Source organism: Homo sapiens, chromosome 7 (genome assembly GCF_000001405.40).
Source record: "Homo sapiens chromosome 7, GRCh38.p14 Primary Assembly".
NCBI lineage: Eukaryota > Metazoa > Chordata > Mammalia > Primates > Hominidae > Homo > Homo sapiens.
In genome coordinates this window covers 98,048,043-98,059,638 of record NC_000007.14, presented here as the reverse complement: position 1 = coordinate 98,059,638, position 11,596 = coordinate 98,048,043, and the positions used below count along the sequence as shown (strand labels likewise).

Sequence of the window (11,596 nt, the reverse complement as noted above, 5' to 3'; positions counted from 1 at the left end):
TCACTCCATTCACAATGTAGCCCAGGGCAGGGTCGTGGATGTGTTGGAAAGGATGTTTTAGACACTTTGAGCGTATGGCTCTGAACTTGTTCACTCACAGGCAAGCAATGCCCATCGTTTCCCTTTTGATTTCTGCTGCTCAGATTTCCACAAGCCATTGAGAGGCTGCCAGCTTGGATGGAACACTCTTCATCTCAGCCCTGTTATTCCATTGTCTGGGCTGTGATATGGCAGAGCCCGGGCTGGTTAAACATACACAATCCCTGCTCTATCCCTGTATGAGTCTGTTCTTGCTCCGCTGTAAAGAAATACCTGAGACTGGATAATTGAGAAAGAAAAGAGGTTTTAATTGGCTCATAGTTCTTCTGCAGGCTGTGCAGGAAGCATGGAGGCTTCTGCTTTTGGGGGAGGCCTCAAGACGCTTCCAATCACGGTGCAAGGCAAAGTGGGAGCGGGCGATCTTACATGGCAGGAGCAGGAGCAAGAGAGAGAAGGGGAGGTGCCACACTTCTTTCTTTCTTTCTTTCTTTCTTTCTTTCTTTCTTTCTTTCTTTCTTTCTTTCTTTCTTTCTTTCTTTCTTTCTTTCTTTCTTTCTTTCTCTCTCTCTCTCTCTCTTTCTTTTCTTTCTTTTTCTTTCTTGTCTTCCTGCCTGCCTGCTTGCTTGCTTTCTTGCTTGCTTGCCTGCGTGCCTTCCTTCCTTCCTTCCTTCCTTCCTTCTTCTTTCTTTTTTTTTTCTTTTGAGGCAGAGTCTCCCTCTGTCACCCAGGCTGGAGTGCAGTGGCGAGATCTTGGCTCACTGCAACCTCTGCCTCTCTGGTTCAAGCGGTTCTCCTGCCTCAGCCTCCAGAGTAGCTGGGATTACAGGTGCCCGCCACCACGCCCGGCTAACTTTTGTATTTTTAGTAAAGGCTGGGTTTCGCCATGTTAGCCAGGCTGGTCGCGACCTCCTGACCTCAGGTGATCTGCCTGCCTCGGCCTCCCAAAGTGCTGGGATTACAGGCGTGAGCCACCGTGCCTGGCCGCATTTCTACTGTTTTAAGCCACCACCTCTGTGGTAACTGGTTACTGCAGCCACAGGAAACTAACGCTTTTGTAAACCCCAGTCTGTCCCCTGGCCCCTACCCCAGCAGCTGGAGCGATCTTTTAGGCCACGTCCCTCCAGCGTCCTCCCCTGCCATGCAGAATGAAATCCACCTTCCTCCCACAGCACCAGGCTCCCTGCCAGCACCCCGGCCATACACCTCTCCCCATTCCTCTCCTCTCCTCCCACACTGGACTCCACCCATCAGCTATCATCTGCTTGAAGTCTTTTGTTTCTGGAAACTTCTGTTCCAAGAAAACCTGCCGAGCTCGTTCCCACATTGGGTCCTACATGGTCATTGTTCTCTGTTGCGGGACGTCCTTCTTGTGGCTCAGTCAGTGGTTGACTTTTCCTCCTGTGGGACACGTGATCTGGCAACATTTTGGTTGTGGGGACTTGGGGGCTGGGGGATAAGAAGAGGGCTACTGGCATCCAGCGGGCAGAGGCCATGGATGCCGCTCAACACCCTATTGGGCACAGGGAGCACAAGATAGCCCAGTTCCTCCAACTGCAAAGAACTATCTAGCTCCAAACATCCACAGTGCCCAGGTGGAGAAATCCAGTTTCACATCTTTCCATAACTCATTCCTTAACTCTGTCCTTTTTGCCTTTCAGGATTCAGCTCCAAAGCCACCTTCTCGCAGTGGCTCACACCTGTAATCCCAACACTTTAGGAGGCTGAAGCAGGAGGATCATGAGGTCAAGATTTCGAGAACTTCCTGGCTAATATGGTGAAACCACATCTCTACTAAAAATGCAAAAATTAGCTAGGCTTGGTAGTGCATACCTGTAATCCCAGCTACTTGGGAGGCTGAGGCAGGAGAATCCCTTGAACCTGTGAGGCAGAGGTTGCAATGAGCCGAGATCGCACCACTGCACTCCAGCCTGGCAACAGAGCGAGACTTTGTCTAAAAAAAAAAAAAAAAAGCCACCTCTTTCTCCAAGAGACACTGTCTCACTATCCATTGTAAAGTAGCACTCCTCCCCATCACCTGCCTTCATTTTCTTGTTTCGTGAGAATGGGGTCTCACTATGTTGCCCAGGCTGGTTTGAAGTCCTGGGCTCAGGCGATCCTCCCACCTCTGCCTCCCTAAGTGCTGGGATTATAAGCAGGAGCCACCATGCCCAGCCAAGCTTCATTTTCATCTACCATTATTACTATTGTTATTTTAAGAGATGGGGTCTCACTATGTTGCCCAGTCTGGTCTCAGGTTCCTGGGCTCAAGCAATCCTCCTGCCTCTGTCTCCCTAAGTGCTGGGATTATGGGCAGGAGCCACCATGCCCAGCCAAGCTTCATTTTCATCTACCATTATTACTATTATTATTTTAAGAGATGGGGTCTCACTATGTTGCCCAGGCAGGTCTCAACCTCCTGGGCTCAAGCAATCCTCCCACCTTGGCCTCCCAAAGTGCTGGGATTCCAAGTGTGAGCCACAGTGCCCGGCCTGGCCTCATTTTCTTCAGGACCTCATCATCACTTGAAATCATCCTGCTTATTTATTTTTTGTTGTTTTTGTCTGCCTCCCCGCTCCCAGCCCTCCCCAAGACATCCCAGAAGATTTTCACAGCCACTGTGGATGGGAATTATTACTGTCTAGCCATCTCCGCCCCCGTCATCACCCCCGCCACCCCCAGGGAGTCATTAATTGAAGGTTTGTTCTTTCCTTGTAGCCAGCAGATACTTTTCCCCCTCTCCTAGATCTCCTTCTGAAGGTGAGTGCTGCTGGCTTGGACCTGTCTGAACAAGCATCACTTTATGCGGTTTTACTGGTACTTTCTAGTCTTGCCAAGGCTGTGAGGGTGGCTGTAAAGACGGTCGGCCTAGCTTTGCGTTGGAACAAGCTATTGAGGCTGTCCTGTTCCTTCTGAACACGCCTCATTGACTGGGTGTTTCCCTGTGGTCTAGACATAGCCCTGGAACCAGAGCCGAGGCCAAGGTCCCAGCAAATCTAAACCTCCTCTTATTTCAGAATTAGAATCCCAAGATAACAGGAGAAGGGGAGCTGTTATGGGCTGATCATGTTCCTCCAAAATTCATACGTTGAAACCCTAACCCCCATACCTCCGAATGGGACTCTATCTGGAGACGGGGCCTTTAAAATGGTGATTAAGTAAAAATGAGCCAGTCAGGGCGGGCTTTAATCCAGTACGACTGGTGTACTTATGAGAATAGATTAGTGGCCAGGCACGGTAGCTCACACCAGTAATCCCAGCAATCTGGGAGGCCGAGGTGGGAGGATCACTTGAACCCAGGAGTTCAAGATGAGCCTGGCCAAACTGATGAAACCCTGTCTCTACTAAAAATACAAAAATCAGCCAAGCATGGTGGCACACACCTGTAGTCGCAGCTACTTGGGAGGCCAAGGCAGGAGGATTGCTTGAGCCCGGGAAATGAAGGTTGTGGTGAGCTGAGATGGCGCCACTGCACTCCAGCCTGGATGACAGAGAGAGACCCTGTCTCAAAAAAGAAGGAGAAGAAGAAGGAGGAGGTGGAGGAGAAGGAGAAGTGATTAGCACACAGACACACACGGAGGCTGACATATGAAGACCCAGGAGGAAGACAGCCATCTACAAGACAAGGAGAGAGAGCTCCAAAGGGCACCAACCCTGCCAACACCTGAACTGTGGGCTTCTGGCCTCAATAATTGTGAGACAACACATTTCTGTTGCTGAAGCCACCCGGACTGTGGTATCTTGTGATGGTGGCCCCAGAGAACTAATACAGGGGCCAGCCTAGGCTCTAACCCCTCACTCCTCAAGCACTGTTAGGAAGGTAGCCTCATCTCCCCAAGGGTCCTATTCTTCCTTTGTAGCAAGGAGATGGTAAGATGCTTCTACTTTATTGAGCTGCTATGAAGAGCAAATGAGATAGACCTGATGTTTGTTTCTTTTTCTTTCTCTTTCTCTTCTTCCTTTGTTCCTTCTTTTCTTTCTTTTTCCTTTCCTTTCTTTCCTCTCCTCCCTCCCTCCCTCTTTCTCTTTCTTTCTTTCTCTTTCTCTTCCTTCCTTTCTTTCTTTCTTTTCTTTTCTTTTTCTTGCTTTCTTGCTTCTTTCCACAGACTCTTGCTCTGTCACCCAGGCTGGATTGCAGTGGTGCAATCCTGGCTCACTACAGCCTCAAATTCCTGCGCTCAATCAATCCTCCTACATCAGCCTCCTGAGTAGCTGGGACCACAGGTGCATGCCACCATGCCTGGATAACTTAAAAAGTTTTTTTTTATTTTTATTTTTTTGTAGAGATCGGGTCTCGCTCTGTTGCCCAGGCTGGTCCTGAATTCCTGAGCTCAACCAATCCTCCTGTCTTGGCTTCCCAAAGTGCTGGGATTATAGGCATGAGCCACCATGCCCAGCTAAGCCAACCCTTCTTGAGAGCACCAAATATGCCCCAAGCTTTTGTGCATGATCTAGTATGCACCTACCTTGTTCAATTCTCCAGCAACTCTTGGCAAGGGTTCTGTTTTATCCATTTTACAGTTCAGGAAACCAAGGCCCAGAGAGATCAAGTAACTTGCTCAAGAGCACACCAAGATCAGCACAGATATGGCGCTGAATGTGAATGCAAGTTTGCCTAAATCCAAAACCCAGGTCTTTAACCACAAGGTAGGTATATGGTACTCTGATGTACAGGAGAGCCCTGCACTTATTAGTTCTATTATTTACAATATACTAGTAAGTTACTATTCACCACTAAAAAAAAGTTGAAGGCCAGGCACAGTGACTCACACCTATAATCCCAACACTTTGAGAGGCTGAGATAGGAGAATTGCTTGAGGGCAGGAGTACAAGACCAGCCTGGGATCCGATCTCTACTAAAGATCTTTAAAAATTAGCCAGGCATGGTGGCACATGCCTGTGGTCTCAGCTACTCAGGAGGCTGAGGGGGCAGGATCACTTGAGCCCGGGAGGTTGAGGCTGCAGTGAGCTATGATAGCGCCACGGCACTCCAGCCTGTGCAACAGAGCAAGATCCTATCTCTAAACAAAACTTTAAAACTAAGAAAAATAATTTGTGCAGCCATCACTGTGATCCATTTCCATAACTCTTTCATCATCCCAAATAAGATGTCTGAACCTATTAAAGGTTCAGAGGGCACACAGACTCCACTTTTCAGGAGAGGTCTATCAGTCAATTTGTAAAAAGAGCACATAGGATAGATAAATATATTGATGAGGACATCTTTGAAAAATACAGTCTGCTCCAGATGAGGAGGCTGAATACATAAGTGCTAAGACATTGCTCAGTCATAGAAATGGCCATGGGTAGAGGTGGCTGATCATGGACAACGTGATTTGGGGCTTGGCAAAAATATAGTATTTTACATGGTGGGAAAAAGGAAGCAAAGACAGCCAACACCGGCTGGAGAAAAGCCTAAGACTTGGCAACTCCTTTTTGACACGTGTGGCCAGTGCTGTGAGGTTGAGTTTCCATGGGACTCTACAAACTGATGGCTTGTGACCAACACTGCCACATATAAATCCAGCACGTCTTTGGGAGCCAGAGCCAAGAGCCCCAACAAAGAACCAGTTACATGGATGAGTTTAGAATCCAATGAAGGTGGCCTAGTAGCTCATCCCCGTAATCCCAGCACTTGGGGAGGCCGAGCCCGGAGGCTCACTTGAGGCCAGGAGTTCAAGACCAGCCTGGCTAACATGGTGAAACCCCATCTCTACTAAAAATACAAAATTGCCTGGGCGTAGTGGCTCACGCCTGTAATCCCAACACTTTGGGAGGCCAGGGCAGGAGGCTTACTTGAGGCCAGGAGTTCAAGACCAGCCTGGCCAAAGTGGTGAAACTCCATCTCTACTAAAAATGCAAAAATTAGCCAGGCATGGTTGCACACGTCTATAATCCCAGCTACTTGGGAGGCTGAGGCAGGAGAATTGCTTAAACCCGGGAGGCAGAGGTTGCAGTGAACCAAGATCATGCCATTGCACTCCAGCCTGGGCAATAAGAGCGAAACTCTGTATCAAAAAAAAAGAAAGAAAGAAAAAAAAAAAGAAAACCAAGGAGGAAAGATTGGCTGCTTCAAGAAATGATGCTGGGACAATTGGTTAGCTTATTATGAACAAGAATAAAATTAGACTTCTTAACTCTCACTTTATGGTATCAAAATAAATTCCAGGCCAGACGCAGTGATTCGCGCCTGTAATCCTAGTGTGTTGGGAGGCCTAAGTGAGAGGATTGATTGAGGCCAGGAGTCCAAGACCAGCCTGGGCAACATAGCAAGACTCCGTGTCTACAAGAAAGTTAAAACTTAGCCAGGCATGGTGATGTGTGTCTGTAGTCTCAGTTATCGGGAGGCTGAGGCAGAAGGATTGTTTGAGCCCAAGGAGCTGGAGGCTGCAGTGAACCATGATTGCACCACTGCACTCCAGCCTGGGCAACAGAGCAAGGCCTTGTTTCTTAAAAAATAAAAATAAATTTTTTTTTAAAATTTAATGAAGCCATAAAAGAACTAAACATATTTAGGAGAATGTTGATCTGATCCTAGAGAGAGGAAGGCTTTCCTGAACATAAAGACATTAAAGTAATATCAAACATTCAATAAGGGATTTCCTCCGCAGTATTGTCTAGAAAAGGAAAAGATAAGGAAACCCTCACCTTCCCCGGGTCCAGCGATGGAGAATTGGCTAAATAAATTATTGGATACATCCCTATGTTGAATAGTCATGTGATAATTAAGAATCATACTTAGGTAATATTTAAGGATATAAGGAAAATGCTCGTGCTATGTTAAATTTTTTTAAAATTATGTTGCAGAATGTTATAATTATACCACACTATACTTTGCTGCTGTGCTTGAAGAAGGGGGTGTGGTTCCACTGACGTTTTACTGGGTATTCAGCACTGTGCTAAGCATTTTACATGCATTTGACCATTTCCCCAGCTGGGTGAGGTGGCTCACACCTGTAATCCCAGTACTTTGAGGGAACAAGTCTGGAGGATCACTTGAGCTCAGAAGTTCAAGACCAGCTTGGGCAACATAGAGAGACCGTCTTTACAAAAAATAAAAATAAAAAATTTTTGGTGGTGCGCACCTGTGGTCCCAGGTACTCAAGGAGGCTGAGGGAGAAAGATCTCTTGAGCCTAGGAGGTCAAGGCTGCAGTGAGCCGTGTTTGCCTCACTGCCTGGGTGACAGCAAGGCCTTGTGTCCAAAAAAAAAAAAAAAAAAAAAAGAAGAAGAATATGCGGTAGATACTGTTAGTATTATTCCCATATTACAAGTCAGAAGACTGAGGTGTAGAAAAATTAATTCATTTGCCAAAGGTGGCAGGTAAGCAAAGAAGCTGCAATTGTAACTCATGTCTACTCGTTTCCAGAGCCCTGGCAGAAGATTCCTTTGAGGCTATGAATTTCCAATGTTGCAAGACGCCAGCTCTCAAAGTGAATGGGAAAGGAAAGGGGTTACTGGAAGGATACGGAGATCTAAATGTTAGCTGTGGGCCGGGCGCTTTGGGAGGCTGAAGCAGGTGGATCACTTGAGCACAGGAGTTTGACACCAGCCTGAGCAACATGGCAAAATCCTGTCTACCAAAAATACAAAAATTAGCAGGGCATGGTGGCACACGCCTGTAATCCCAGCTACTTGGGAGGCTGAGGCAGGAGGATCTCTTGAACCCGGGAAACAGAGGTTGCAGTGAGCTGAGAGCATGCCACTGGACTTCAGCCTGGGCAACAGAGTGAGACACTGTCTCAGAAAAAAAAAAATGTTAGCTGTGGTTATCCGTGGGTGGTGAGATGATTTCCCAGATTTCCTACAGATTCATGTGACTTTTAGAGTAAGATCAATTTATAAAACATTTTATAAAAGGGTGGGCGTGTAGCTAGATAGACGTCCACACGGGCAGGTTATGAAGCTCTCTCCTCTCTTGGAGTCCCCAAGTGACTTGTCCCTGCGGAATCTGGAGGTCCCCACACAGACACACACCCATAATAAATGCGACAAGCAGTGCGTGACACCAGGCAGTGCCCGGCAAGCCTTTGATGGCTAATGGCTGTAGGTGAAGTTTCTGAAATGACTTGCTCTTGTCCTAGGGTGGCAGATGCAGTTACAAGGGACCCAGTGGGACAGGACAACGCTGTTCTTTATATTCAAGAAGTGCCCCCTTTGATTCATAGCTGGGGACCCCTCGCCGAGCGGGCCATCAGAGAGGCCACCGGTGGCGCCCCGGAGCTCGTCGTGGCGACTGGTCCAGCCTTGCGAAGGAGACCTGGTTACCATGGATACAGCAGGGCGGGGGCGGAGCCAAACCGGATCCCGGAAGTGGGTAATTAGTCTCATCTTCCCGCCACCTGCCTGCTTCCCCACCTCACACCCCATGGCTTCCAATCCTGTCGCTTTCCCCCTACCCCCTGCAGGCTTAGGTTTTCCTTGTCTTTAAAAGGCAGGAACTGGGGAGGAGTGGGTTGGCAAACAAAAAGAGAAATTTGGCAGCCCTACTTTAAAAAAAAAATTGTGGAATTGTTCAAACCTACAGAAAACTATAGGGAGTAAAATAAACACTCATGTACCCTCCACCTAGAATTAATATATGTTCACGTTTTTGCTTGGAGGTGTTTCTGATTTTGATCTTAAGAAACCCCCTTTTCGGGCCGGGCACAATGGCTCATGCCTGTAATCCCTGCACTTTGGGAGGCCAAGGCAGGCAGATCTCTTGAGGTCAGGAGTTCAAGACCAGCCTGGCCAAAAAGGTGAAACCCTGTCTCTATTAAAAATACAAAAATTAGCCGGCCGTGGTGGTGGATGCCTGTAATCCCAGCTACTCAGGAGGCTGAGGCACAAGAAACGCTTGAATCTGGGAGGTGGAGGTTACAGTGAGCCGATATCGCACCATTGCACTCCAGCCCGGGCGACAAGAGCAAGACCCTGTCTCAAAAAAAAAAAAAAAAAATTGGCGTTACACAATGTAAAGATGAATGGTAAATTCATGCTAATAATTTAGATTTCTGAGTTTTCTTTACTTAGAATGATAGTAGGGAGCAAATAAAAAATATTGTGACAAGTCAATAGAGAGACTGCAGAAAAAAGAAAAAAGCTTTATATGTTATTCATTTGTTTTGTTTTGTTTTGTTTTGTTTTTTTGAGACAGAGTCTCACTCTGTCGCCCAGGCTGGAGTGCAGTGGCATGATCTCAGCTCACTGCAACCTCCGTCTCCCAGGTTCAACCAATTCTCCTGCCTCAGCCTCCCGAGCAGCCAGGACTACAGGTGCGTGCCACCACGTCTGGCTAATTTTTGTATTTTTAGTAGAGATGGGGTTTCACAATGCTGGCCAGTCTGGTCCTGAACTCCTAACCTCAGGTGATCTACCTGTCTCAGCCTCCCAAAGTGCTGGGATTACAGGTGTGAGCCACCACACCCAGACACCATTTTGTTATGATTGAGTTTTAACAGTTCTTTGTATATTTGGAATACAAATCCTCTATCTGATATATGTTTTGCAAATATTTTCTCAGAGTCTTTGGCTTGTGTTTCCTTCTCTTAACCCTGGGTCATTTTGGAAAATCAGGGTAAAAATGGGTTAGGCCCACCAGTTAGGATGAGGGGAAGATAAACCAGTGATCTCAGGGGAATAGTCTGGACTGGAGAGGACTGGCTGGTAAAATTGGCCTCCAAAAAAACATGCCTGGCCCTTTTATCACATGGGAAAATATTGGGCTTCTTTTCCATTTCCAAGTCTTCTGGGTCTTTGGGGGTGAGGACTCTGCTACAGGGCCGGTTCCATAATTTGTGGAGTCCAGTGCAAAATGTAAATGCAGGCCTCTTGTTCAAAAAGCAGGAAAAATGTGCTGTTCAAAATACTAGGCTGGGTGCAGTAGCTCATGTCTGTAATCCCAGCACTTTGGGAGGCTGAGGCAGGAGCATCTCTTGAACTCAGGAGTTCAAGACCAGCCTGGGCAACATAGCAAGATCCCATCTTTAATTAAAAACAAACAAACAGGCCAGGCAAGGACCCAGACAATTGTGGGTTGTATTTTTAGTAGAGACAGGGTTTTGCCATGTTGGCCAGGCTGGTCTTGAACTCCTGACCTCAAGTGATCTGCCCGCCTCAGCCTCCCAAAGTGCTGGGATTACAGGTGTGAGCCACTGCGCCCGGCCCCAGGAATAGGTTTGATCCTCAGCTCCTGACCAAATCTAGGCTGCGGCTCAGCGCCCCATCCCATCCTGCCTATTCCCCGTCTTGCGAGTGCAGGACACCGATGGAGAAATCCCAGGGTAACTTAGCAAATAGGTGATCTGCCAAGGAAGGGAACAGGCAGGCCAGGGCAGTCCTAGCCACACTAGGAGGGGCAGAGCCCAGTCAACACCTGCTTAGGCTCAGGAGTGAGTAACTGGCCAGGAATGCAGGTTGCCAGAGGGCTCAGCTGCTATGAGATGCCAAAATCTTTCTCGCGGATGTTAATTTCCACCGTCTCAGGAAGTGGCTGCTGTTTTCACACTAACTCTGCCGCAGCCAGGGGGCTTTTCTAAGCCTCTCCATCTCACACTACACTGAAATCTCTTCAGACCAAATTAAAGCATCAAGGATCCACTTGTGAGATTTGAGATGGGTTCCCCCAAAGTGGTGAACCCCATTGGAGTCGCAATGAGAGCTGTTGTGTCTTGAGGCTCACTGACTCTTTGGGGGAAAAAGTCCTGATCTGTAGCAGTTGCTAATTTCCACAGTGTAAATACTCTCACGGTGGCCAATTTCAAGTAGATAACAAGTCGGACAAGAATCAGGCACAGGTTCTTTGTCAGAAGTTAGAGGGGAAGAGAGTGAACGTGGGGGAAAAGAGAGAGACTTTGGGGACAGACTTAGAGACTCAAGTTTGCGTCCAAACTCTCCCACCTGCCAGCTCAGACAACTCGTTTCTTCCTCCAAAGGCTTAGCTTTCTCCTATAGAAAACAGGGGCACTTGGCCGGGCATGGTGGCTCACACCTGTCATCCCAGCACTTTGGGAGGCCAAGGCGGGCAGATACTTGAGTTCAGGAGTTCAAGAGCAGCCTGGCCAACATGGCAAAACTCCGTCTCTACTAATAATACAAAAATTAGCCAGGTGCAGTGGCTCACACCTGTAATCCCAGCACTTTGGGAAGCTGAGGTGGGCAGATCACTTGAGGCCAGGAGTTCAAGACCAGCCTGGCCAACATGATGAAACCCCATCTCTACTAATAATACAAAAATTAGCCGGGTGTGGTGGCACGCAGCTGTAATCCCAGCTACTCAGAAGGCTGAGGCAGGAGAATCGCTTGAATATGGGAGGCAGAGGCTGCAGTGAGCCAAGATTGCACTCCAGCCTGGGTGACAAAGCGAGACCCTGTCTCAAAAAGAAAACAGGGACACTAACAATGCCTACTTCGTTGGATTACTATGGGCATGAAATTTGGGGCAGTTGCAATAGCAGTTGGCAACTGACCACCTCATATCTATTTCTTCTTCTTAACACTATCCTGGCTGGGTGCAGTGATTCATGCCTGTAATCCCAGCACTCTGGGAGGCTGAAGTGGGAGGACTGCTGGAGGCCAGG

General features: G+C 47.8%; 2 annotated features.

The window, feature by feature from the left end:
- Positions 10,334-10,834: an enhancer, noted in NCBI's record as "H3K27ac hESC enhancer chr7:97678117-97678617 (GRCh37/hg19 assembly coordinates)". NCBI's record gives its function as "activates a minimal SCP1, AML or CMV promoter by ChIP-STARR-seq in naive H9 embryonic stem cells {active_cell/tissue: H9 hESC(naive)}" and the evidence as "EXISTENCE:reporter gene assay evidence [ECO:0000049][PMID:30033119]".
- Positions 10,835-11,335: an enhancer, noted in NCBI's record as "H3K27ac hESC enhancer chr7:97677616-97678116 (GRCh37/hg19 assembly coordinates)". NCBI's record gives its function as "activates a minimal SCP1, AML or CMV promoter by ChIP-STARR-seq in primed H9 embryonic stem cells {active_cell/tissue: H9 hESC(primed)}" and the evidence as "EXISTENCE:reporter gene assay evidence [ECO:0000049][PMID:30033119]".